This window comes from Homo sapiens, chromosome 11 (assembly GCF_000001405.40).
Source record: "Homo sapiens chromosome 11, GRCh38.p14 Primary Assembly".
NCBI lineage: Eukaryota > Metazoa > Chordata > Mammalia > Primates > Hominidae > Homo > Homo sapiens.
Window position 1 is genome coordinate 124,382,179 of NC_000011.10, and position 27,983 is coordinate 124,410,161.

Consider the following 27,983-nt stretch of genomic DNA (forward strand, 5'->3'; position numbering starts at 1 on the left):
GTTCCCTTTACAAATATGCCATGACCTCTTTAGTAATATTGCGAGAAGTGCCAGAGATGCAAAAACAAAAAAGAAGACACAAGATGATCTCATAAGAGAAATGATAAGACAAGTTTATTAAATCACACATAACACCATCTGTAGAAACAACAAAATCTCTTCATGAAAAACACTAATAAAAATTTGAAGTCCTTCAATTGTTTTACATCATTACTGCTTCTAATTAGAATATATTTCTCCTCTGAATTTTAATCAGAGCTTTCCTCAGTGCAACTTTGACATCCTTGTTCCTCAAACTGTAGATGAGGGGATTGAGCATGGGCACCACATTAGTGTAGAAAACAGAAGAAACTTTTCCCTGCTCCATAGATCCAGAAGAATATTTAATATACATGAATGCCGCTGACCCAAAAAACAGAGACAGAGCAATGACATGAGAGCTACAAGTACTGAAGGCTTTTGATCTTCCTTGAGTGGATTTGATATGAAGAATGCTAGTGACAATGAAAACATAAGAAATGAGGATGGTACAACTGGGTACCGTGATATTAGTACCCACAACAATGAGAACAACCACCTCGTTGACATAGGTGCTGGTGCAGGAAAGCTGGAGGAGGGGGAGTATGTCACACAAGTAATGGTTGATGATATTAGCACTGCAGAAGGTGAGTCTAAGCATGCACCCGGTGTGGGCCGTGGCTCCAGCCAATCCCATTATGTAAGCAGCAAAAGTGAGCATAGAACAGACCTGATGGGACATGGTGACCTTATACAGCAATGGATTACAGATGGCCACATAGCGATCATATGCCATTGAAGTCAACATGTAACATTCAGAGATGACGAAAAAGAGAAAGAAAAACAGCCGAGTCATGCACCCAACATTGGAGATAATATTCTTTTTTGACACAAAGTTCATTAGCATTTTGGGAGTGAAAACAGAGGAGTAACAGAGATCAATGAAGGAGAGATTGAAGAGGAAATAGTACATTGGTGTGTGGAGGTGAGAATTTAGACCGAAAAGAGTGATCAAGCCAAGGTTGCCTACCATGGTGACAATGTAGATCACTAGAAACAGGAAAAAGAGGGGTTGCCGGAACTCTGGATGATCTGTTAATCCAGCAAGAATAAATTCAGTCACTAAGGAGTTGTTTCTAGCCAGCATTTTTTGTCTTCAAAAATCTGGGAAGACAAAAGAAAATTCTATTAGGAACACAGATTTCTTTTTACAAAATCTCATTAATGAGGAGGGGACTCAGGCTGTAGGAATTTGGGTGAGTTCTTTGTTTCATGGGATCTGAATGTACTGAATGTACTGCCACTCCCACTCCTCAACATTTCAGTCAGTGTCTTTTGTCTGTACAGACTGAATGTGACAAACAATTGCTCCTGTCCTTACTAGAAGACACAGAGGTGGAGTAGCTGAGGCACAGGCCTACCTGCTGTTGAGCTTGGGTTATATGGATGTGTCTCATCTCCCTCACTTCCATCTGTCCCTTCACTTCCTAGTTTCTACTTATGTTTCCATTATTCTACTAGACACTTCAATTTCCCTGTGATGACCACCAGGTAAGGGAGGATTCCTTTAGGGCGGAGACCATACTGATATTCTGTTTCCTAGACAGGGGTCTCCTATAGGGTTTCTAGATACCTTACTATAAGAATCCATGAAGTCACCGGGTGATAAAAGAAGACCCTTAGTAGTCGAGGCCTTATGATTCACCACATACAAATCACATAAGTGTTTCTACACATTCTCCTCTATTCCATCCTAGCTAGACAGAGGATGAAGAAAGGAAGCTGAATGTGCTTTCACAGGTCTTTGTAGGAAGGCATAAGGGAAACATAATTAATTTGGGTACAGTTATATTAGTTGTTAAGTTTGTAAAATTTTACCAAACTGGTATTTTTATGACCCTTAAACTCTTCTATATGTATAGCACATGTCAATATATTTTTAATAAAGAGACAAATCTCCTTTCCTGGCATTCCTCTGTTCTGGATGTGTCACTTGGAACTGCTATTGCTATCCTGATACCAGGCTGAGAATGAAGCCAACAGAGAGAACAGTGTGAGAAAAATGCAAGCCCGAGAGTCAGAGCTCCATACCACTAAGTTTCTTGCTATTGAATAAATACTTTTCCCCATTTTTCAGCAACATCCAGGAGAGAGAAATAGAAACTTGATTAACTCACCTTCCTTCCACTCAGAGAACTCAGTGCTGACCATTGATATGTGTTTCACCTCCACTGCCCTGGAGGTAGAACTGGTGGTGAAGGTATCTACGTTGACCACATGTAGTCAAAGAATCTTCTTCTCCCTTACCTGGCAAAAGCATTGAGCATAGATCTCAGAATCTGAATGTTCTGGGAATCATTCTGAGGTGTAGATCAAACTATTTATAAATTTGCCAAGAGGGTTTGTTAGAAAATCAGACTTCACACCAGACCCACCATGTCCACCGTCATAGAGACATGGCATTTGCTCAAGGCTCATAATTCTTAGACCTGATTACATACCAACAGTAAGTCTCTCTCAGGACCTCCCCTACCATGACACACTCTGCAGGGAAGAAATTATATGCCTGTGTTTACAGCCTAACTTGTTGTTGTAGATGTAAACTTTTCATCAGGGATTATACAATCCACAGGGCATAGGAGAAAGAGCCTCTGCTGTCATGTATAAAGATGTAAACATAAAGATTGTCAGAATTTTTGCTAATTATAATTATCGGCAGTGTTAGCTTTAACAAGTATGTATGTATAATTTAGTAAAGTTTATTGCTATGCTCATTTTTAATATTGTGAGTCCTTTTAAATAATCCATTTTTAGTTTTGCATACTTTATAGGCAAAAAGAAAAGAAAAAGAATAAAGAAAAGGATACTTTTAATTGATTTCAGATTTTTTAAATAAAATTTTGTGTAACATAGAATGATCCTTTATTTCATCAAAATTTAATTATCTTGGGTTGCTCTAACTCAACATGTCTTTGCCTTTAACAGGTTAAAATCAAATCTGTAAGAAAAATCACTAATCATGTGCCCTCATTTTAAGACAGTATGACTTCAGAATTTCCCGGTAGGTAGGAATTTGTGCTTGTGAGAAGGCATCTATATTTTTTACCTTTTTATTTTAAAATTATTAGAATCACAAGAAGTGGCAAAAGTATATGTAGATTCCCTTGGACACTTCACCCAGCTTCCTCACACAGAGACATCTTCCACAACTGTAGGACAATAGCAAAATCAGGAAACTGACATAGGTTCAATAATGTTAAAGAAACTACAGACCTTATTCAGCAATTTAACATGCGTGTGTGTGTGTGTGTGTGTGTGTGTGTGTGTCTGTGTGTGTGTGTAGATCTATGCAGTTGAATCCTATGTACCTATTTATGTAACAAAAACCTAAGTCAGGATACAGAATTCTTTCTTTTTTTTCTTTTTCTCTCTCTCTCTTTTTTTTTTTTTTAAAGACAGGGTCCTACTCTGTCACCCAGGCATGAGTGCAGTGGTGCAATCACAGCTCACTGCAGCCTCAACCTCCAGGACTCAATAGATCGTCCCACCTCAGCCTCCCAAGTAGCTGGCACTACAGGCACATGCCACCACACCTGGCTAATTTTTTAATTTTTTGTAGGGATAGGGGGTCTCACTATGTTACCCAGGCTGGTCTTGAACTCCTGGTCTCAAGAAACCCTCCTGCCTCAGCCTCCCAAAAGTGTTGGGATTACAGGCATGAACCACCATGCCTGGCCTCTAATTAATTCTTAAACAGACTTTTAAGCATTCCATTTGTTCTGCCCCATCCTCACTTCTTCCAGAAATATCTGCTGTCGTGAAATTGTGAGAATGTTGGAGACTGTGTGTAAATCAGGTGTGTTCTTGGTTTTCCCAGTTCTATCATAGGGTCAGATGTTGTAAGAATGCCAGTGCAGATACTGCTTGTTTATCTACTGTCTAATTTCCAAAATCTGGGAGTTGTTCTAATTCTACCTTTTTTTTTTGTCCCTGGGAGCGAACACCATTTTTATTTTTATATATTTATTTATTTTTTTCCCTTCTGATTTGCTTCATTTTTTTATTTTATTATTATTATACTTTAAGTTTCAGGGTACGTGTGCACAATGTGCAGGTTAGTTACATATGTATACATGTGCCATGTTGGTGTGCTGCACCCATTAACTCCTCATTTAGCATTAGGTATATCTCCTAAAGCTATCCCTCCCCCCTCCCCCCACCCCACAACAGTCCCCAGAGCGTGATGTTCCCCTTCCTGTGTCCATGTGTTCTCATTGTTCAATTCCCACCTATGAGTGAGAATACGTGGTGTTTGGTTTTTTGTTCTTGCGATAGTTTACTGAGAATGATGATTTCCAATTTCATCCATGTCCCTACAAAGGACATGAACTCATCATTTTTTATGGCTGCGTAGTATTCCATGGTGTACACGTGCCACATTTTCTTAATCCAGTCTATCATTGTTGGACATTTGGGTTGGTTCCAAGTCTTTGCTATTGTGAATAGTGCCGCAGTAAACATACGTGTGCATGTGTCTTTATAGCAGCATGATTTATAGTCCTTTGGGTATATACCCAGTAATGGGATGGCTAGGTCAGATGGTATTTCTAGTTCTAGATCCCTGAGGAATGGCCACACTGACTTCCACAAGGGTTGAACTAGTTTACAGTCCCACCAACAGTGTGAAAGTGTTCCTATTTCTCCACATCCTCTCCAGCACCTGTTGTTTCCTGACTTTTTAATGATTGCCGTTTTAACTGGTGTGAGATGGTATCTCATTGTGGTTTTGATTTGCATTTCTCTGATGGCCAGTGATGGTGAGTATTTTTTCATGTGTTTTTTGGCTGCATAAATGTCTTCTTTTGAGAAGTGTCTGTTCATATCCTTTGCCCACTTTTTGATGGGGTTGTTTGTTTTTTTCTTGTAAATTTGTTTGAGTTCATTGTAGATTCTGGATATTAGCCCTTTGTCACATGAGTAGGTTGCGAAAATTTTCTCCCATGTTGTAGGTTGCCTGTTCACTCTGATGGTAGTTTCTTTTCTTGTGCAGAAGCTCTTTAGTTTAATTAGATCTCATTTGTCAATTTTGGCTTTTCTTGCCATTGCTTTTGGTGTTTTAGACATGAAGTCCTTGCCCATGCCTATGTCCTGAATGGTAATGCCTAGGTTTTCTTCTAGGGTTTTTATGGTTTTAGGTCTCACATTTAAGTCTTTAATCCATCTTGAATTAATTTTTGTATAAGGTGTAAGGAAGGGATCCAGTTTCAGCTTTCTACATATGGCTAGCCAGTTTTCCCAGCACCATTTATTAAATAGGGAATCCTTTCCCCATTGCTTGTTTTTCTCAGGTTTGTCAAAGATCAGATAGTTGTAGATATGTGGCGTTATTTCTGAGGGCTCTGTTCTGTTCCATTGATCTATATCTCTGTTTTGGTACCCGTACCATGCTGTTTTGGTGACTGTAGCCTTGTAGTATAGTTTGAAGTCAGGTAGCGTGATGCCTCCAGCTTTGTTCTTTTGGCTTAGGGTTGACTTGGTGATGCGGGCTCTTTTTTGGTTCCATGTGAACTTTAAAGTAGTTTTTTCCAATTCTGTGAAGAAAGTCGTTGGTAGCTTGATGGGGATGGCATTGAATCTATAAATCACCTTGGGCAGTATGGCCATTTTCACGATATTGATTCTTCCTACCCATGAGCATGGAATGTTCTTCCATTTGTTTGTATCCTCTTTTATTTCATTGAGCAGTGGTTTGTAGTTCTCCTTGAAGAGGTCCTTCACATCCCTTGTAAGGTGGATTCCTAGGTATTTTATTCTCTTTGAAGCAATTGTGAATGGGAGTTCACTCATGATTTGGCTCTCTGTTTGTCTGTTATTGGTGTATAAGAATGCTTGTGATTTTTGTACATTGATTTTGTATCCTGAGACTTTGCTGAAGTTGTTTATCAGCTTAAGGAGATTTTGGGCTGAGACAATGGGGTTTTCTAGATATACAATCATGTCATCTGCAAACAGGGACAATTTGACTTCCTCTTTTCCTAATTGAATACCCTTTATTTCCTTCTCCTGCCTGATTGCCCTGGCCAGAACTTCCAACACTGTGTTGAATAGGAGTGGTGAGAGATGGCATCCCTGTCTTGTGCCAGTTTTCAAAGGGAATGCTTCCAGTTTTTGTCCATTCAGTATGATATTGGCCGTGGGTTTGTTTTAAATCCCTTTTCTATCACATTAGTGACTTTGGGCAAAGAATACAGACAATGCATTGACATTAAGACTGCCATCTTTAACCAGAGTCCTCCAGTTGCATTTCTAGAACAATGCCTAGGAGCACACCAAGCTTACAGGAGCCCGGAGATTGGCATTTCAAGCTCCCAGGACTTGACCAGATGTATTCTGCTCAGAGTTGATGATGCATGAGGCCTAAAATCCCATAAATTATCTTTATTTTAGAGATTCTACTGATTTATTTCATCAAATGACCTTCTTTTTTGCATTTAGGTTATAATTACTGTGAACACAGAAAGTAGGCCCTGCCCATAGGATTCCTCAGTCTAATCAGAAATATAACCCAGGAAATTAAAATTGAAACTTGTACCTCCTTTAGTTATTGTTTGCCAATCAGAGTGTGAAATTCTTTTTTTTTTTTTTTTTTGAGATGGAGTCTCGCTCTGTCTCCAGGCTGGAGTGCAGTGGAGTGATCTCGGCTCACTGCAACTCCACCTCCTGGGTTCAAGTGATTCTTCTCCCTCAGCCTCCCAAGTAGCTGGGATTACAGGTGCGTGCCGCCACGCCTGGCTAATTTTAGTATTTTTAGTAGAGACGGGGTTTCACCGTGTTGGACAGGATGGTCTCAATCTCTTGACCTCATGATCCGCCTGCCTCGGCCTCCCAAGGTGCTGGGATTATAGGTATAAGCCACTACGCCCAGCCTAAATTCTTTATCTACCTTCTCTCATATCACCCTTATGATCACCCTCTGAACCAGACACCCCTATCTCACATATAAGAAATCCAAAACTAAGAGGGATAATCAATTGTTTCAAAGTCAAAATGCATACTGGTGGAGCAAGTTTTATACTTGGTATCTATGAATGGAAAATTGCTTTATTTAATGACTACACTATGCAGAATTGTGTTATACAATGTAGAATGTGCTACTATGCAATCTTTACAAAGTACATTGGGGTTCTTTCCATTTAAGTGATAGGAATAAGACAGCTTACACCAAAAATGTGTGTAAAACTGGTAAGTCAAGGATGTGGATGACTTCTTGTATGCTGGACAAAGTAGAATCAAGTCATATCATGAGTGAGTGTGTCTCTTTTCACTTTTCTCCTGCTTAATTCTACCAGGGTTTTAATCTTAGATGGGCTCTCACATGTAGTTTTTGAAAAGGAGCCCCCCAGAACTCCTAGGTTTAATTATAACTTCAGGGATAAAAATTGATTGTTAAAAATCATTTTGGCAGAGAAAAACTATAGTTACGTTAATATTCCAGACTAATCAGGAAGTTGGACAGCTCTGACACGAGGGTTTGACATGTGCTAACTGGACAAGTTTATAGTCTATGACATGGACAAGAGAGTCCATAAAAATCACATACAGTGTGTTCCATGTATCAGAAAAGATCCTGCCAAAAAAGCCAGTAGTATGCTATGCATTTCCTAAAGAGGATATTTAAACAGAGAATTAGTTATACAGATATTGGAAGGGGGAAAGAGCAAAACATTGGCACAGAGAAAATATGAAGACTAATAAAGTGTGGAAAATAGCTACCACTCCCAGAACTCGTGGAAAAATAGAAAGGGGATGCATAACCAGATTCTCAAATGTCAGAGAAGCCCTGTAGGATTGGCGCTTGAATTAATTGAGGTATGGAAATACCCCACAGCTTGTGCTTGGCCCTCTCAAGTAGAGGCTCCACTCAGAGACTGCTGGGACTAACAAGGAAGGAGACCAACCAGAAGGCCTGATAAATGCTTGACTGGGACAAAGTCTAGGTAATGTAGTGAAAGAGGATAGGCACAAATTCCAGGCAATGCAATGAGGGGGGATGGAACAGCTGGTAAGGGAGTGCTATCCAGCTATTCACTATACTTCTAAGAGATTACAACAAATTAAGCACATTGGCAGGTGTTTATTGATTTGCATGTCTTCCTTTAGGACAGGGGTGTCCAATCTTTTGGCTTCCCTAGGCCACATTGGAAGAAGAAGAATTATCTTAGGCCACACATAAAATACACTAGCACCAATGATAGCGGATCAGCCTTTAAAAAGTCACCAAAAAATAGCAAAATGTTTTAAGAAAGTTTACGAATTTGTGTTGGGCCATATTCAAAGCCATCCTTGGCTTGAGACCCGAAAGCTTGCTTTCGGATATGTCATTTGAATCATTTGTCTGTTTATTAAATGGTATTTTTTGATATATATTTTAAGTAATGAGTTGAGATATATATGTGGACACAATACTTTATTGAATATATAGTTACAAATATTTTTCTAGCCTGTGTTTGCCTATGAGAACTTTTCTGATAAATAGATAATCTCATTTTAATTAAGTTTATTTGTTTTTTTTTTTCCTTTGGGGCTTAGTGCTTTATAGAATAATGCTAAGAAATCTATGCCTGCACCAACACAATTTCATATGTTTTCTTCTAGAAGATCCATAGTTTAAGCTTTTTTGTGAATGGTTTTGGTCCATCTTTAGATTAAGTTTTGTGTATAGTGTGAGGTAGAGGTCAAGGTTTGGTGTTTTCCTTATGGATAGGCAGTACATCCAGCAACAATTGCTTCAAAGCCTTTTCTTTCTCAATGGAATTACTCTGTTCCTTGGTCAACAATCAATTGACCGCGTGAGTGAGGCTCTGTTTCTGAATCTGCTATTCTATCTCATAGACTTGTTCACCTGTCTTTATAACTAAACTAATCTGTCTTGATTATCACAGCCTTATGCTAATTTTTAAAATCAGCTAATAAGATCCAAAATTGACACCCTAACATCACAATTAAAAGAACTAGAAAAGCAAGAGCAAACACATTCAAAAGCTAGCAGAAGGCAAGAAATAAATCAGAGCAGAACTGAAGGAAATACAGACAAAAAAAAAACCCTTCTAAAAATTAATGAATCCAGGAGCTGGTTTTTTGAAAGGATCAATAAAATTGATAGACCACTAGCAAGACTAATAAAGAAAAAAAGAGAGAAGAATCAAATAGATGCAATAAAAAATGATAAAGGGGATATCACCACCAATCCCACAGAAATACAAACTACCATCAGAGAATACTACAAACACCTCTACGCAAATAAACTAGAAAATCTAGAAGAAATGGATAAATTCCTCGACGCATACACTCTCCCAAGACTAAACCAGGAAGAAGTTGAATCTCTGAATAGACCAATAACAGGATCTGAAATTGAGGTAATCAGTAGCTTACCAACCAAAAAGAGTCCAGGACCAGATGGATTCACAGCCGAATTCTACCAGAGGTACAAGGAGGAACTGGTACCATTCCTTCTGAAATTATTCCAATCAATAGAAAAAGAGGGAATCCTCCCTAACTCATTTTATGAGGCTAGCATCATCCTGATACCAAAGCCTGGCAGAGACACAACCAAAAAAGAGAATTTTAGACCAATATCCTTGATGAACATTGATGGAAAAATCCTCAATAAAATACTGGCAAACCAAATCCAGCAGCACATCAAAAAGCTTATCCACCATGATCAAGTGGGCTTCATCCCTGGGATGCAAGGCTGGTTCAATATATGCAAATCAATAAATGTAATCCAGCATATAAACAGAACCAAAGACAAAAACCACATGATTATCTCAATAGATGCAGAAAAGGCCTTTGACAAAATTCAACAACCCTTCATGCTAAAAAGTCTCAATAAATTAGGTATTGATGGGACGTATCTCAAAATAATAAGAGCTATCTATGACAAACCCACAGCCAATATCATACTGAATGGGCAAAAACTGGAAGCATTCCCTTTGAAAACTGGCACAAGACAGGGATGCCCTCTCTCACCACTCCTATTCAACATAGTGTTGGAAGTTCTGGCCAGGGCAATCAGGCAGGAGAAGGAAATAAAGGGTATGCAATTAGGAAAAGAGGAAGTCAAATTGTCCCTGTTTGCAGATGACATGATTGTATATCTAGAAAACCCCATTGTCTCAGCCCAAAATCTCCTTAAGCTGATAAACAACTTCAGCAAAGTCTCAGGATACAAAATCAATGTACAAAAATCACAAACATTCTTATACACCAATAACAGACAAACAGAGAGCCAAATCATGAGTGAACTCCCATTCACAATTGCTTCAAAGAGAATAAAATACCTAGGAATCCACCTTGCAAGGGATGTGAAGGACCTCTTCAAGGAGAACTACAAACCACTGCTCAATGAAATAAAAGAGGATACAAACAAATGGAAGAACATTCCATGCTCATGGGTAGGAAGAATCAATATCGTGAAAATGGCCATACTGCCCAAGGTGATTTATAGATTCAATGCCATCCCCATCAAGCTACCAATGACTTTCTTCACAGAATTGGAAAAAACTACTTTAAAGTTCACATGGAACCAAAAAAGAGCCCGCATCACCAAGTCAATCCTAAGCCAGAAGAACAAAGCTGGAGGCATCACGCTACCTGACTTCAAACTATACTACAAGGCTACAGTCACCAAAACAGCATGGTACGGGTACCAAAACAGAGATATAGATCAATGGAACAGAACAGAGCCCTCAGAAATAACGCCACATATCTACAACTATCTGATCTTTGACAAACCTGAGAAAAACAAGCAATGGGGAAAGGATTCCCTATTTAATAAATGGTGCTGGGAAAACTGGCTAGCCATATGTAGAAAGCTGAAACTGGATCCCTTCCTTATACCTTATACAAAAATTAATTCAAGATGGATTAAAGACTTAAACATTAGACCTAAAACCCCAAAAACCCTAGAAGAAAACCTAGGCATTACCATTCAGGACATAGGCATGGGCAAGGACTTCATGTCTAAAACACCAAAAGCAATGGCAAGAAAAGCCAAAATTGACAAATGGGATCTAATTAAATGAAAGAGCTTCTGCACAACAAAAGAAACTACCATCAGAATGAACAGGCAACCTACAAAATGGGAGAAAATTTTCACAACCCTCATGTGACAAAGGGCTAATATCCAGAATCTACAATGAACTCAAACAAATTTACAAGAAAAAAACAAACAACCCCATCAAAAAGTGGGCAAAGGATATGAACAGACACTTCTCAAAAGAAGACATTTATGCAGCCAAAAAACACATGAAAAAACGTTCATCATCACTGGCCATCAGAGAAATGCAAATCAAAACCACAATGAGATACCATCTCACACCAGTTAAAACGGCAATCATTAAAAAGTCAGGAAACAACAGGTGCTGGAGAGGATGTGGAGAAATAGTTACACTGTTGGTGGGACTGTAAACTAGTTCAACCCTTGTGGAAGTCAGTGTGGCCATTCTTCAGGGATCTAGAACTAGAAATACCATTTGACCCAGCCATCCCAATACTGGGTATATACCCAAAGGACTATAAATCATGCTGCTATAAAGACACATGCACACGTATGTTTATTGTGGCACTATTCACAATAGCAAAGACTTGGAACCAACCCAAATGTCCAACAATGATAGACTGGATTAAAAAAATGTGGCACATGTACACCATGGAATACTATGCAGCCATAAAAAATGATGAGTTCATGTCCTTTGTAGGGACATGGATGAAATTGGAAATCATCATTCTCAGTAAACTATCGCAAGAACAAAAAACCAAACACCGCGTATTCTCACTGATAGATGGCAATTGAACAATGAGAACACATGGACACAAGAAGGAGAACATCACACTCTGGGGACTGTTGTGGGGTGGGGGGAGGGGGGAGGGTTAGCACGAGATATACTTAATGCTAAATGAGGAGTTAATGGGTGCAGCACACCAGCATGTCACATGTATACATATGTAACTAACCTACACATTGTGCACATGTACCCTGAAACTTAAAGTATAATAATAATAAAAATAAATAAATAAATAAATAAATAAATAAATAAAATCAGCTAATATAAGTCTGCTTTGTCATTTAGGGTCCCCTTAGAAGGAGATGTCAAGAAATAGACTTGCAACACATTTTTTGTTATAAATGCCTATTAAGGATAAAACTGAAAGGAGCAAGAGTCAGTGATGAAGGCCTCAGACCAGGATGAAGGCCTCAGCCGGGATGAAAAGAGAAAGAAATGGAAAGTTCGGGTAGGAAAATCTCAGACCATAGAGCAGTTCTAAAAAGTCTTGGTCAGGAGGATAGGAAGTCTCTAAGCAAAGATTTCCTATCAGAAAAGATACATGTTAGATGGAAATTGGCCAGCTCTCTTTAAGTCCCACCCACCCTGCTGAGTCATTGGCTCAGGACATCTCAGAGTAAGAATGTACTCTGCCTAAACACCATGGTGGATCCAAGGAAGTGCAACTATAGACTTTCAGTCAGCCATGCACCCCACCGATGGGTCTCTTCATGGGGAGCTGAGCTGTTCTTCTCTGGGGCTACCACAGTCCACCTCCAAAAATATAAATTAAACCCCAAATTTGTTCAGATATATAATTGTCGTTATTTTTATATGTTATTAATTATTACTTAAAGTAATACATTTATTGTTGGTGTTAAGCAAGATACTCCAGTTCAGCCAGGCACAGTGGCTCACACCTGTAATCCCAGCACTTTGGGAGGATGAAGCAGGAAGATTGTTTGAGGCCAGGAGTTAAATTTTTTTCTCCAAATATTTAAAAAGTAGGGAGGCATGATGGTGTGTGCCTGTACTCCCAGCTACACAGGATGCTGAAGAAGTCCTCTACCTCATGCTATACACAAAAGTTAATCTAAAAATGAACCAAAACCATACAAAAAAAAAAAGCTTAAACTATAGGCTGATGTAGAAGAACCACTTGAGCCCAGGAGGTGGAAGCTGCAATGAGCTATGATTGAACCACTGCATTCCTGCCTAGGTGACAGAGTGAGATCCTGTCTCAAAAAAAAGACAAAAACAAAACAAAACAAAACAAAAAAACTTCAATTCAACAACTATTTCTTGATTTTACAATATATCTGACATTTTAAATACATGAACAGGAAAAGAATTCGACAAAATAAAGGAATTATGAGAAATAACCTTTATATAAAATGTGTTTCACGTCTTGTTGGTGAGATGATAAAGTTTAAGTAGGCTCACAAAATATTTGTAGAAATATAGTTTATTAAAATTAATATACATTTTTTCATGACAAACCACATTGGATAAGTAACCATTGTGTAAAATATTTCTGCTAACTTAATGTGCAGTATTTACCTATAACGAGTAAAAAAATAACATTTACAGTAGGAACTACACGCTTTTTTCAAAATTTTCAATGCTGTTTTAGATAGCAATGAATGAAAGTTTTATAATGTAAACAATGGACCCACTTATTGGAATCCTGAGGTCCACATGTATTATTTCTCTAATCATCCTCTGTAAATGCTGCCTTTGGCAATAAAAGGTGGAGACACACATATTCTCTGCTGTATCAAATGCACTGGACTGATAGAGGTTCTCAGAAGCAAACGGCATGTGGTACAAATTTTGCCATTCTCAAAGGGAACAAGAAAAGTCAGAATAATAAAAGGCAAAATGGTGACAATATAGAACAAAAGGACAAGATCAAGGGGTGCTCATTCTGCTTTAAGCTACCTACCATTTGTAATGGAGACATTTCATCAAATCCAGCTGCCTATATCTGTAACAATGTTGATAAAAATAAGAATGCTTCTATCATATTTGGCACTTCTGAGTTTAGGTGAGAAAGCCGTGACTTTGACATCTTTATAATTCATGAAATTTACCATATATGTCCAATTAAGAACAGCCCAGGAGAGAGGAAGGATATAAAATGATAATGAAAAATATCAGTGCATATGTTCCTTTTACAAAGATGCCATGACCTATTTAGTAAAATTGTGAGAAGTGCCAGAGATGCAAAACCAAAAAAAGAGACAAGATGATTTCATAAGAGAAATGATAAGACAAGTTTATTAAATCACACATAACACCATCTGTAGAAACAACAAAATCTCTTCATGGAACACACTAATAAAAATTTAAAGTTCTTCAATCGTTTTACATTATTACTGCTTCTAATTAGAATATATTTCTTCTCTGAATTTTAATCAGAGCTTTCCTCAGTGCAACTTTGACATCCTTGTTCCTCAAACTGTAGATGAGAGGATTGAGCATGGGCACCACATTAGTGTAGAAAACAGAAGAAACTTTTCCCTGCTCCATAGATCCAGAAGAATATTTAATATACATGAATGCCGCTGACCCAAAAAACAGAGACAGAGCAATGACATGAGAGCTACAAGTACTGAAGGCTTTTGATCTTCCTTGAGTGGATTTGATATGAAGAATGCTAGTGACAATGAAAACATAAGAAATGAGGATGGTACAACTGGGTACCATGATATTAATACCCACAACAATGAGAACAACCACCTCGTTGACATAGGTGCTGGTGCAGGAAAGCTGGAGGAGGGGGAGTATGTCACACAAGTAATGGTTGATGATATTAGCACTGCAGAAGGTGAGTCTAAGCATGCACCCGGTGTGGGCCGTGGCTCCAGCCAATCCCATTATGTAAGCAGCAAAAGTGAGCATAGAACAGACCTGATGGGACATGGTGACCTTATACAGCAATGGATTACAGATGGCCACATAGCGATCATATGCCATTGAGGTCAACATGTAACATTCAGAGATGACAAAAAAGAGAAAGAAAAACAGCTGAGTCATGCACCCAACATAGGAGATAATATTCTTTTTTGATACAAAGTTCATTAGCATTTTGGGAGTGAAAACAGAGGAGTAACAGAGATCAATGAAGGAGAGATTGAAGAGGAAATAGTACATTGGTGTGTGGAGGTGAGAATTTAGACCGAAAAGAATGATCAAGCCAAGGTTGCCTACCATGGTGACAATGTAGACCACTAGAAACAGGAAAAAGAGGGGTTGCTGGAACTCTGGATGATCTGTTAATCCAGCAAGAATAAATTCAGTCACTAAGGAGTTGTTTCTAGCCAGCATTTTTTGTCTTCAAAAATCTGGGAAGACAAAAGAAAATTCTATTAGGAACACAGATTTCTTTTTACAAAATCTCATTAATGAGGAGGGGACTCAGGCTGTAGGAATTTGGGTGACTTCTTTGTTTCATGGGATCTGAATGTTCTGAATGTACTGCCACTCCCACTCCTCAACATTTCAGTCAGTGTCTTTTGTCTGTACAGACTGAATGTGACAAACAATTGCTCCTGTCCTTACTAGAAGACAGAGAGGTGGAGTAGCTGAGGCACAGGCCTACCTGCTGTTGAGCTTGGGTTATGTGGATGTGTCTCATCTCCCTCGCTTCCATCTGGCCCTTCACTTCCTAGTTTCTTTTTTTTTTTTTTAAGATGGAGTTTCACGCTTGTTGCCCTGGCTGGAGTGCAATGGTGGGATCTCGGCTCACTGCAACCTCTGCCTCCCGGGTTCAAGAGATTCTCCTGTCCAGCCTCCCAGGTAGCTAGGATTACAGGCACATGCCACGATCCCAGCTAATTTTTGTATTTTTAGTAGAGACAGTGTTTCATGATATTGGTCTGGCTGGTCTCAAACTCCTGACCTCAGATGATCCACCTGCCTCAGCCTCCCAAAGTGCTGGAATTACAGGTGTGAACCACCGAGCCTGGCCACTTCCTAGTTTCTACTTATGTTTCCATTATTCTACTAGACACTTCAGTTTCCTTGTGATGACCACCAGGTAAGGGAGGATTCCTTTAGGGCAGAGACCATACCGATATTCTGTTTCCTAGACAGGGGTCTCCTATAGGGTTTCTAGATACCTTACTATAAGAATCCATGAAGTCACCAGGTGATAACAGAAGACCCTTAGTAGTCAAAGCCTTATGATTCACCACATACAAATCACATAAGTGTTTCTACACATTCTCCTCTATTCCATCCTAGCTAGACAGGATGAAGAAAGGAAGCTGAATGTGCTTTCACAGGTCTTTGTAGGAAGGCATAAGAGAAACATAATTAATTTGGGTACAGTTATATTAGTTGTTAAGTTTGTAAAATTTTACCAAACTGGTATTTTTATGACCCTTAAACTCTTCTATATGTATAGCACATGTCAATATATTTTTTAATAAAGAGACAAATATCCTTTCCTGGCATTCCTCTGTTCTGGATGTGTCACTTGGAACTGCTATTGCTATCTTGATACCAGGCTAAGAATGAAGCCAACAGAGAGAACAGTGTGAGAAAAATGCAAGCCCAAGAGTCAGAGCTCCATACCACTAAGTTTCTTGCTATTGAATAGAATACTTTTCCCCATTTTTCAGCAACATCCAGGAGAGAGAAATAGAAACTTGATTAACTCACCTTCCTTCCACTCAGAGAACTCAGTGCTGACCATTGATATGTGTTTCACCTCCACTGCCCTGGAGGAAGAAATGGCTGTGAAGGTATCTATGTTGATCAGATGTAGTCACAGAATCTTCTTCTCCCTTGACTGGCAAAAGCATTGAGCAGAGATCTCAGAATCTGAATGTTCTGGGAATCATTTTGTGGTGTAGATCAAACTATTATTTATAAATTTGCCAAGAGGGTTTGTTGGAAAACTGCACTTCAAACCAGAGCTACCATGTCATAGAGCACATGGCATTTGCTCAAGGCTTACAATTCTTTTGGACCTGATTACATATCCCCCAGTAAGTCTCTCTCAGGACCTCCCCTACCATGACAAACTCTGCAGGGAAGAAATTGTATGCCCTTGTTTACAGCCTAATTTGTTGTAGTAGAGGTAAATTTCTCATCAGGGATTATACAATCCACAGGGCATAGGAGAAAGAGCATCTGCTCTCATGTATAAAGATGTAAATGTAATGATTGTCAGAATTTTTGCTAATTATAATCCTAGGTAGTATATTAGCTTTAACAGGAATGTAAGTATAATTTAGTGAAGTTTATATGCTCATTTTTAATATTGTGAGTCCTTTTAAATAATCTTTCAAATAATCCATTTTTACTTTTGCATACTTCATAGGCATAAAGAAAAGGGATACTTTTAATTGATTTCAGATTTTTTAATAAAAATTTTGTGTAACATAGAATTATCCTTTATTTCATAAAAATGTATTTACCTTGGGTTGCTCTAACTCAACATGTCTTTGTCTTTCATGTTAAAATCAAATCCGTAAGAAAAATCACTATTCATGGGCCGTTATTTCAAGACAGTGTGACTTTAGAATTTCTCTGTAGGTAGGAATTTGTGCTTGTGAGAAGGCATCTATTTTTTTACCTTTTTATTTTAAAATTACTAGAATCACAAGAAGTGGCAAAAGTCATACGTAGATTCCCTTGAACTCTTCACCCAGTTTCCTCACATGGCGATGTCTTCCACGACTATAGGACAATAGCAAAACCAGGAAATTGACATAGGTTCAATAATGTTAACGAAACTACAGACCTTATTCACTAGTTTAACATGCTCGTATGTATGTGTGTGCAAATCTATGCAATTCTATCCCATGTACATATTTATGTAACCACCACCTAAGTCAGGATACAGAATTCTCTTTTTTTTTTTTTTTGAGACTGTGTCCTGCTTTGCTGCAATCACAGCTTACTGCAGCCTCAACCTCCCAGGTTCAATAGATCTTCCCACCTCAGCCTCCCAAGTAGCTGGGACTACAGGCACATGCCACCACCATTGGATAATTTTTGTATTTTTTATAGAGACAGGATTTCATCATATTGCCCAGGCTGGTCTTGAACTCCTGGGATCAAGTAATCCACCTGCCTTGGCCTCCCAAAGTGGTGGGACTACAGGAGTGAGTCACCATACCCAGCCAAAAATATCCATCTTAAAAGAGATGTATAAACTTTTGTTTTCTTATTTTTTATTAGTAATTATTATATGTATTTATGGGATACAATGTGGTGTTTTGATAAATGTATACATCATGAAATTATTAAATTAAGATCATTAACACACCTATCAACTCACATACTGATTTTCTGTAGTGTAAACACTTAAAATCTACTCTCTTAGCAATTTTGAAATATATATTGCATTATTATTAACTATACTCTCCAGTCAGTGCAATAGATTCCAAAAACATATACCTCCTTTCTAATTAAAACTTTGCACCCTTTGACCAACATCTCATTCCCCTCACCCCCAGCCTCTGGTAACAACCATTTTGTTTTTTTTCTTTTTATTATACTTATTTATTTAAAAATATTTGAGACCAGGTCTCACTCTGTCACCCTGGCTGGAGTACAGTGGCACGATCTTGGCTCACGGAAGCCTTGGCCTCCTGGACTCGAGCAATCCTCTCACCTCTGCCTCCTGAGTAGCTGAGAGTACAGGCGCCTGCTATCACACCCAGCTAATCTTTTTTTATTTTTGTAGAGACAGGGTCTCACTGTTTTACAGGCTGGTCTCGAACTCCTGGGCTCAAACAATCCTCCCACCTTGGCCTCCCAAGGTGTAATCTCCCAAGGTGTAATCTCTCACACCTGGGATTACAGATGTGAGCCATCACACCCAGCGTAATTTTAAAATTTCTATAATTTTATAAGATAATATTCCAAAAATATATATATTCATAGTTATTAATGAAAATTTGTACTTTCTTTTGGAACATAAATTCTTTACATCAGGCTTTGTGCTAGAAATAGCTATTTGCAATGCTTTTTCCAGAATTTTTAATGAGTGTATCTCTAGTTTCTTTTACAGTCACTGTTTTAGTTCACATTGACCTGCTATAAGAGAATACCTAAGACTGGGTAATTTATACAGAATTTTCTTGGCTAATGATTCTAGAGGTTGGGAAATCCAAGATTGAGGTGTCAGCATCTTGCAAGAGCCTTCTTGCTGTATTATCACATAGGGGAAATGCAAAGAGACAGAGAGAGAGAGAGAGAGAGAGAGAGACTGGAGCTGAACTCATCCTTTTGTAAGAAACCCACTCTTGCTATAAAGGCATTAATTCACGAGGGGAGAACCCTCATGGCCTAATCACAATCACCTCTTACAGGTCTCGTCTCTTAATACTGCTACAATGGCAATTAAATTTCAAGATGCATTTGGGAGGGGACAAACAATCAAAACACAGCAATCATCATCAATGAGAAATTATATATGAAAAGTGGTAAGAGTTTTCAATAATTTGTACCACCATTTAAAACTTTGCTATTGAAATCAGATTTTAAAAATATAAGAGTTTTTTTCCTTTCATTGGCGTATTTAATGTTGAATCAGTTTGGAATCAATTTCACTTTTTATTTCAAATATTACAAAATAACAAAGAAGCTCTAATTTGCAGAAAGTGTATGCATTGTTAGAGTAACCACACTGCAACCAGCTTAGATGCCACCAAAAGGCTCCATCAGCTGCTGTAAGAGAATATATGGAGAGAAGTATCTGATCTGGGATACTTGGACAGAAGTATCTGATCTAGGGCTTCTGCTTGGAGCAGTGGCCCTAGGATTTCTGGCCTGGTCTCCCACCACCACAGAAGGCAGCACCTAAGGCTGAGCACTGTGCTTCTTGGGCACCCAAAACATAAGCTCCACCAGCAGCTCCATAGGCCTCTTGTCCACAATGGTCTCTGTCCTTCTCTCCATGTGACAGCTGTAGCTGGTGTCCAGGTGGTGAAGTGCCTCTTTGGTCAGGCTGTGAAATAGAACAGTGAGTACCTGACTTGGCCAACTGTTCTTGCATCTAGGCAAAGCATACCATCAGATACTCTCCACTCTTGCCCTCCTGACAGCATCTTTTTAGGCTCTGTAGCCTCTGTGCCTTTTGCATGTATTCTTATAGGGCTTCTACATGAATAAAACTTTCTTCCAATTAAAATTGTATTTATACAGCTGGTATAACAGAAGGATAACAAAGATGTACAACAGTACCCATATCTTCAAGAAAGTCACCAATTTGCAGATACAATACTTCCAAATATCCACAAGTTGGTTTTAAAAATGCTTCACATTCTGAAACAGTTCTTCAAATCTCGAATTATGTTAGTTTTTAAACCTACGTTTGAATGTTTAATCAATTCAGTTTTATGTAAATTATAGCTTTAATTTTAAAAATTGAAAATTTTTGCCAGGATGATGAAAAGAGTGGGCCTGTAAAATAAGTCTGTTGATTCACAGCAGAGCCAGGCATTTTGCTGACTTATCCTCCACCAGGGGGTGCTGGTGACACGGATATCATATTCAGACTGCACGGTGCATGCCAAACCTGCGACTCATATTTTACTTTTGTTTGTAGTCATGGATGCTGCAAATCTTTGTTTGTCTTTCGTAAAATGTGAAGTTTTTTAAAGATGTGCTCTTGAGCAAAACTTAGATCAAACCATTTTAAGCTATTTAATCAGGCATCTTAATGGATGTAGGCGAGAAAATGATAGAGGCAGACATGAGGCCTTCAGATTTCTGCATGGTAGAGTAAGAGCTTTAAACAAATCCATTACAATAAGGTAAGTTTACCTAATAAATGTATATAAATGATGCTTCTTTTTTTTTTTTTATTGATCATTCTTGGGTGTTTCTCGCAGATGGGGATTTGGCAGGGTCATAGGACAATAGTGGAGGGAAGGTCAGCAGATAAACAAGTGAACAAAGGTCCCTGGTTTTCCTAGGCAGAGGACCCTGCGGCCTTCCGCAGTGTTTGTGTCCCTGGGTACTTGAGATTAGGGAGTGGTGATGACTCTTAATGAGCATGCTGCCTTCAAGCGTCTGTTTAACAAAGCACATCTTGCACCGCCCTTAATCCATTTAACCCTGAGTGGACACAGCACATGTTTCAGAGAGCACAGGGTTTGGGGTAAGGTCATAGATCAACAGCATCCCAAGGCAGAAGAATTTTGCTTAGTACAGAACAAAATGGAGTCTCCCATGTCTACTTCTTTCTGCACAGACACAGCAACAATCTGATTTCTCTATCTTTTCCCCACATTTCCCCCTTTTCTATTGGACAAAACCGCCATCGTCATCATGGCCCATTCTCAATGAGCTGTTGGGTACACCTCCCAGACGGGGCGGCTGCCGGGCGGAGGGGCTCCTCACTTCTCGGACGGGGCGGCTGCCGGGCGGAGGGGCTCCTCACTTCTCAGACGGGGCGGCCGGGCAGAGACGCTCCTCACCTCCCAGATGGGGTCGCGGCCGGGCAGAGGCGCTCCTCACATCCCAGACGGGGCGGCGGGGCAGAGGCGCTCCCCACATCTCAGACGATGGGCGGCCGGGCAGAGACGATCCTCACTTCCCAGACGTGATGGCGGCCGGGAAGAGGCGCTCCTCACTTCCCAGACTGGGCAGCTGGGCAGAGGGGCTCCTCACATCCCAGACGATGGGCGGCCAGGCAGAGACGCTCTTCACTTCCCAGACGGGGTGGCGGCCGGGCAAAGGCTGCAATCTCGGCACTTTGGGAGGCCAAGGCAGGCGGCTGGGAGGTGGAGGTTGTAGCGAGCCGAGATCACGCCACTGCACTCCAGCCTGGGCAACATTGAGCACTGAGTGAGCGAGACTCCGTCTGCAATCCCGGCACCTCGGGAGGCCGAGGCTGGCAGATCACTCGTGGTTAGGAGCTGGAGACCAGCCCGGCCAACACAGCGAAACCCCGTCTCCACCAAAAAAATACAAAAACCAGTCAGGCGTGGCGGCGCGCGCCTGCAATCCCAGGCACTCGGCAGGCTGAGGCAGGAGAATCAGGCAGGGAGGTTGCAGTGAGCAGAGATGGCGGCAGCACAGTCCAGCTTCGGCTCGGCATCAGAGGGAGACCGTGGAAAGAGAGGGAGAGGGAGACCGTGGGGAGAGGGAGAGGGAGAGGGAGAGGGTGCTTCATTCTTATAGCAATTTTTTTAGTCAGATGTAAGTAAAGATCTTAACTGGTATAAATACGTTCTATAGCTGTTCTTATAAAGCAGTGTTTTCAACTTTTTCAGAAGGTAGTAGTATCTTCTGACAAAGATAAAAATTGCACACATAGGTAAGCTCATTCTCCAGAATCAGATATATCCTTTAAGGAGCATTTTTCCTTGAACCATTTGAGAAGTAGAAATGGACGGAGAAAATTTTTCTTGTGAGTAACCCACAAAACATGAAGATTTTGTAAAGATCCATTTTCTATGATTTGTGATATAAATAACTTATTTTTTTCTGTTTCCAAATATAAAAACATATTATAATATGTAACAGACTTTTTAAAGTACATGTGCAATTCTAGAGAGTGTGTCTTGCTTCGCTAAGGAACCTTGTCCCAAAGCTCTGCAGCCTCACTATCTCTGGAAATAATCGCTGTAATACAAGAATATGATTAAATGTTTCTTTGTAGCAGATCCTGTTTATCCCATTCTAAAATCAGACCTTTCTAGGGCCATGTGCATTTTCTAGTTTCACATCAACGACTAGTCCATTATCTCTCGGCTACAAGCATCTTGGCTGAGAACATTATTCCCACAATGACCCCATTTTTAGGTTCTTTGACAAAGATGCAAAAGAAATATAGCTACGTTGGCCATCCCACAAAGGAGATGATGTTCCTCTCTGAGATAAAGCCCATTGGAATTTTTGTGGTACAGACAAATGAATAGCAGACATCAATGAAGGATAGCGTGAAGAGGAAAAAGTGTGTGGGGGTATGAAGGTGAGAATTTAGGGACATAAAATTATGTTCAAATTCTCCCCACAGGGACCACATTAAGAATAAAACACTGGGGCAGCGGGAGTTTGTTAATCTCACAAGGATAAATTCAGTCACCGAAGAGTTATTTTCCACTGCCATTCATTTCATGGTATGATCTATAAGAACAGGGGCAGACAGTAGCATTAATGACAGATCCTCCCTCTTTGTCCCTAGAGGGAGAGCTGGATCTGCTGGATTGTCAGCTCAGGGTTGTCTAAAGACTTACAGCAAGTGATCCAAGGAGGAAGAGTCCCTAAGGAGGTCCCCAAGACCTGAAATTCCAGATTGTCCTTCCCTCTTCTCTCCCTCCCCCAAGTCAGTTTTTGTAGGTCTCTAACCAGAGAAAACTGCTTGTAGACCTTATGCCGTTTCAGCACTTCCTCCCTCCAACCAGGGCTGTCTCCAGAGTATTCCCCTAGAATCTTTGATTTATGGGTTTGGAAGGAAATCGGCAAGACAAAGATGATTTAGACATTCGTCGTTGTTTTTCCTAGAGACCCTACCAGTGCTCAACCTCGAGGGCCCTTCTTTCCCACTGTCTTGAAGGGGGCAAATCTGATGATGCAGCAGGCAAGAGCCATCAGCACAGTCTTCAGTCTCTGACAAGCTGTAAGAGTTCTTTGGAGAATTTTCCATGACTTCTATTTGAAAACTTGCCCAGAAGGCCCTCTTCACAAGCAAGCAGTAAAACAACTTTAGAAGCCTAAATGGCTTGAATGGGAATTTGTTTCACGCCCTACAGCTCTGGAGAAAGTGATTCAAAGCCCAGAGAATGATTCTTTCCATTGCAATTTCCTCTAAAGTTGGATGAGCCTCTTAAAGGTTTACATTACTGAGCCTGTGTGTACATCCTGTGTCATAGACCTACCTTTGGATCCTTCTGTACTCAGCATTCTTACTTAGTTTATAATTTCATGTCGGGAAATCCAATCTCCAATGCAGAAGAGTGAATGCTCCCTTTGTCACTTCCTTCATTTTCCCCTGGAGTCTATGCACAGTGCTACAAAAGGAAAGTCCAGGGATACAGTCACTTGCCATTTCTACTTTCCTACATGCCTTTGGGATTGTGTTAGTAAAATCGTAGATTATAGCTTTGACACCATATGTGATTGTGGATTTCTCTTCTATAAAGATATTTGTAGCAAAGTAGCTAAGTCTTTGTAGCTACTTTGTAGCTAAGTCAGACTGCCTCAATTTAAATCTAGACTATTTCTGCACTTCCTGTGAGATTTTAGATGTTATGTAACTTCTTTGACCCTTGTTTCCTCCTCTGTAAAATGAGAATAGTAATTGATTGCCGTGGGGGTTAAATGATTTAGTACATGGAAAGTATTAGAACACTGCCTGGAATATGGAAAGAGTCTGGTAAGTGTTTGTTCTCCTTCTCCTCATTCATATTCGCCTATATATATAAAACGTGAACCTTTTCCCTGCGTGCTCCCTGAACACTTTTATTTTATGTGTATTTATGTGCCCCAAGTTCAAAGTGTCCCAAACTGCAGTCAGCATTTTCTTATGATTTCCAGAACCACTCCTTCTCCGTTCATTATTGTCTAAATTATTTTCATGACCACCCAGGTTACTAAATTTAAGCATCTGCTCCTCACTCACCTTCTTCATCCAGGCTTCATGTCCCAGAGAAGCTATCTCTTCAAAATCTTGCTCTGGTCTTTCCTCTCTAATACATTGCTTTCGTAAGCCTCTCTTCACCTCCTGATTGGATTACACTTGATTTTCTAATGTGGGTTCTTATGGAATAAAAGAATTTGTTCTTTGTAACCTCCTTCTCACCACACACACACACACACACACACACACACACACACGCACAATCTTATCCTTGTAATATGGCTTATAATAATTATAAATTTGGTTAGATAAATATTCAGTAGTTGCATTATTAACACAATTTTAAACACTATTTACAGATAATAGATCAGATACCAGAATCATTTTTATTTTATTTCTTTTTCATTTTCCATGAAGCAAATGTTTTTGGGGGCTCTCATTTGCTTTGATAGTCTATGATTTCCTTGAATTATCCTCATGACCTCTTCTCCATTTGTATATATCTTTTCTCACTATATACAGTTGTAGCCATATGATGTTAGCTGATATTTCAAAAATTTCATCTTCTCAAAAATGTCATCCTAAGAAACTTGTGATCTACTACCAGATCAGAAGTTTAATGGGATGTCCTCTAGCTTTGTTGAAAATCTAACATTTTGAGATCTCTTGTCACCATCTTTCTGGGAATTCTCTTCACCTCATACCTGTGTTAGGTAACCTGTTTTCTAGATTCTGTTTTCCTGTTTCTTCATTTCTCTCTCCATTTTTAAAGTGAACTTCATTTTTTAGAATAGTTTTAGATTTATAGAAAAATTGAGAACGTAGTACAGAGAGTTCTCATATACCCCACTCTCATGTCCCCTAATATTAAATCTTACCTTAGTATGGTACACTTATTACAATTAATAAACCAATGTTGTTACATTTTCATTAACTAAAGTCTGTATTTATATAGCTTCAGTGTTCACCTAATGTCATTTTTCTGTGCCAGGTCATCCAGGTTACCCCATTACATTTAATTTTCAATTCTCCTTACATTCCTCTCAACTGTAATAGTTTTCTTCCTCATTTTGATTGAAAATTTTTCTATTAATTTCTAGAGAAAATGTACATGAAATACAAATTTTATAGAAATTGCCTGTCTGAAATTGCCTCTTTTTTGCCTTCTTCTTTGATTGGCAATGGTAGGGTTTAACTTCCAGTTTAAAAGTTAATTTAAACCTCCAGTTTAAAGCTTAATTTTTCTGAGAATTTTGAACATATTGATACAATATGTGTACTGGAATTGCATTAAATCTACAGATCTAATAGACGGACATGTTAATAACATTGTATCTTCCATTCCATGAATATCATGTATCTTGCATTTATTCATATTATTTTTCTTTCTCAGAGCAAGGTTTTAAAGTTTTCAGTTTAGACATTTGCACATCTTTCATTAAATTTATTCCTAAGTTAGTTTGGGATGCTACTATAAATGATGTATGTATTAATGTAACTTTCCAAATTTTTGTGGCCAGTATATAGAAACACAGTTGATTTATGTTTGATGACGTTGTATCCTGAGACCTGAATTCATTTTTTAGCTCTGGTATTTTTGTTTTGTAATTTTTAAAATAATTTTCTACATAAGCAATTATTTTAGGTGAACAATGCTTATTTGTCCTCTTCCTTTTCAATCCATTGGCATTTTATTTCATTTTTCTGTCATATTTCAACAAGCTAGGCTCTTCACCAAACATAGAGGAGAGAGAATAATCTTAGTTTGTTTCCAGTCTTTTGGGGAAAGTACTCAGTCTTCAACCATTAACTATGATGTAAGATGTAGTTTTTTAATAAGTTTCTTTTGCTAAATTGAGAACATTCTCTCCTGTCCTATTTTTCTGAAAATTTTATTGTAAGTGGCTCTTTCCATGGCTGAGAGTAATAAAGGTGGAGACACATGTTCATAAGGAGCAGAATGGGGTCTTCTTGTCTATAGGTGAAGAAATCTGTCTAAGAAAAAGCCACATAGAACCAAGCACATCAGAAAAATTGAAAAAGAGGCACAATCCCTGTGACCCCTTGGATCCAGACAAATCTGAAGCAAAATGTGTCCCTAGGAGGCAGGACTCGACTCCATCTACTATTTTAGGGAGCTGCCCTTCATATAAATTGAAGACTGGCTGAAGCAGGAAAGAGGCATGGAAGGCGCCTCCCCATAAGACATGTTCACCAGTGCCATGAAAATTTACCATTACCATGGCAATACTCAATGTCACCACCCCTTTTCTAGAAATTTCTGAATAACTTGTCTCTTAATTTGCATGCAATTAGAAGTAGGTATAAATAGGACTGCAGAACAACCTCTGAGCTGCTGCACAGTGCACACTGCCCCTGAGAGGAGCAGTACCTCTGCTGCTGCCATACATTGCCACTTCAATAAAAGCTGCTGTCTATTACCACTGGCTCATCTCGGAATTCTTTTCTGAGAGAAGCCAAGAATTCTCCCAGGTTAAGCCCCAATGTAGGGGCTCGCCTGCCCTGCATTACTTGGACTTTCCCATTAAATGAACTTTTTTGTTTAAACTGATTTGGCTCAGGTTTGTTAAATCTGAATTACCGAAAGTAATTACTGAAAAGCAATCACTTCGAATGAAAAGGCTCTTAATATATGGCACTATTGTACCTTGTACAAATTTCTGTGGCAGCGCTTACTTTCATTTTTATGTATAGCACTGTAACAGAGATAAATTTTACATTAAGAAAGATCTGTGTTTGAATCCTGGCTCTGCCACTAGTTTTTGCAACTTGGGCAAAAGCATTTAAGCTAAGCCTTGGTTGATACCTGTGTAAAACAGAGATACTTGTGTAGAGATTTTAAAAGGTAAGTTAATAAAAGAGCTTAGCATTGTTAACACCAGTTACCCATTAGTTGTGCAATTCTCAGTTTCTTCTGTTGCTTCTTCAATTAGGCCAAAGGGCAAATCTGTATCTTATCTCTTTTTGTGTTCAGAGAATCTTCATACTTAAATCCTCTACAGATGTTTATTTGATGAAATGAATAAGTAAACCTTCCAAAATAATCAGATAACTTACTTGTGGAGTTTAGATCTCAAGGATCCTTTATCTAAGCAAAGGTATATCAGCTCAGGAGAGGAGTGTTTTTGCCAATAGATAGAATTGTGCAGGCTTTGTGTGCTCACAGACATCACCTTAGAGACTTAGCCAGAGGACTTTGGGTTAGAGAAATACAGTTGAACTCATCCATTTTAACCACTGCTACTTTCTGAAAGCCCACTAAAATGTTAATGAAGGCATTACAAGGCAGAAGAACAAGCATGTTTCATTAACTTACTGGGACAAGAACACAGGGGAAAGACAGCAGGAAAAAAAAAAATCAGAAAGCTGGAAGGCACAGTGATAATCAGTAACTGACTCGGTGGTCCCCAGAAAGCTGAATTCAGAGCTCCGTAGTGGAAGCAAATATCCAGATTACGCCATAGCGTGTCTCACGTGCTCAGTAATGTGGTGGCACAGCTCACCTCTGAAAGTAGGGGTGATGGTGAGCATAAAAACAGGAAGGCGGCTTGAAAGTCTGTTACAGAAGT

The 27,983-nt window shown here is 39.2% G+C and overlaps 2 protein-coding genes, 1 long non-coding RNA gene and 1 pseudogene across 6 annotated transcripts, besides 1 other annotated feature; 1 reads left to right on the forward strand and 3 right to left on the reverse strand.

Annotated features, from left to right (window-relative positions):
- Window positions 1-215: 215 nt before the first annotated feature.
- On the reverse strand, window positions 216-15,142 carry OR8B2 (olfactory receptor family 8 subfamily B member 2). Of its 3 annotated transcripts, none has more exons than XM_017017535.3 (3): window positions 15,057-15,142; window positions 2,196-2,325; window positions 216-1,182 (listed from the first exon to the last, which is right to left on the reverse strand). In XM_017017535.3, the coding sequence occupies exon 3, from the start codon at window positions 1,163-1,165 to the stop codon at window positions 224-226; it is 942 nt and encodes a 313-aa protein (XP_016873024.1). In that variant the 5' UTR covers window positions 1,166-1,182; window positions 2,196-2,325; window positions 15,057-15,142; the 3' UTR covers window positions 216-223. The 3 variants fall into 3 exon arrangements, with proteins under 3 accessions (XP_016873024.1, XP_016873025.1, NP_001005468.1); XM_017017536.2 differs by lacking the exon at window positions 15,057-15,142 and adding an exon at window positions 3,125-3,182; NM_001005468.2 differs by lacking the exon at window positions 15,057-15,142 and having other exon boundaries at window positions 2,196-2,321.
- On the reverse strand, window positions 13,356-27,629 carry OR8B3 (olfactory receptor family 8 subfamily B member 3). 2 transcript variants are annotated; one of them, XM_017017716.2, is made up of 6 exons: window positions 27,472-27,629; window positions 24,436-24,572; window positions 23,693-23,824; window positions 17,431-17,534; window positions 16,512-16,641; window positions 13,356-15,190 (listed from the first exon to the last, which is right to left on the reverse strand). In XM_017017716.2, exon 6 carries the CDS (start codon window positions 15,171-15,173, stop codon window positions 14,232-14,234), a length of 942 nt encoding a protein of 313 aa, XP_016873205.1. In that variant the 5' UTR covers window positions 15,174-15,190; window positions 16,512-16,641; window positions 17,431-17,534; window positions 23,693-23,824; window positions 24,436-24,572; window positions 27,472-27,629; the 3' UTR covers window positions 13,356-14,231. The 2 variants fall into 2 exon arrangements, with proteins under 2 accessions (XP_016873205.1, NP_001005467.1); NM_001005467.2 differs by lacking the exons at window positions 17,431-17,534; window positions 23,693-23,824; window positions 24,436-24,572; window positions 27,472-27,629 and having other exon boundaries at window positions 16,512-16,846.
- OR8X1P (olfactory receptor family 8 subfamily X member 1 pseudogene) lies at window positions 22,055-22,923 on the reverse strand (annotated as a pseudogene).
- Window positions 22,438-23,509, forward strand: LOC107984404 (uncharacterized). The gene is made up of 2 exons (XR_001748427.1): window positions 22,438-22,785; window positions 23,319-23,509. It is a non-coding gene; the product is annotated as an uncharacterized LOC107984404 (long non-coding RNA).
- Window positions 23,180-24,379: an enhancer, noted in NCBI's record as "CDK7 strongly-dependent group 2 enhancer chr11:124275254-124276453 (GRCh37/hg19 assembly coordinates)". NCBI's record gives its function as "activates an origin of replication core promoter dependent on BRD2, BRD4, P300/CBP, MED14 and CDK7 cofactors, with strong dependence on CDK7, by STARR-seq in HCT116 cells {active_cell/tissue: HCT116}" and the evidence as "EXISTENCE:reporter gene assay evidence [ECO:0000049][PMID:35650434]".
- Window positions 27,630-27,983: the final 354 nt, after the last annotated feature.

Coding starts and splice junctions, on each gene's coding strand:
- OR8B2 (XM_017017535.3), bottom strand. CDS start 1,165: ATGCTGGCTAGAAACAACTCCTTAGTGACTGAATTTATTCTTGCTGGA.
- OR8B3 (XM_017017716.2), bottom strand. CDS start 15,173: ATGCTGGCTAGAAACAACTCCTTAGTGACTGAATTTATTCTTGCTGGA.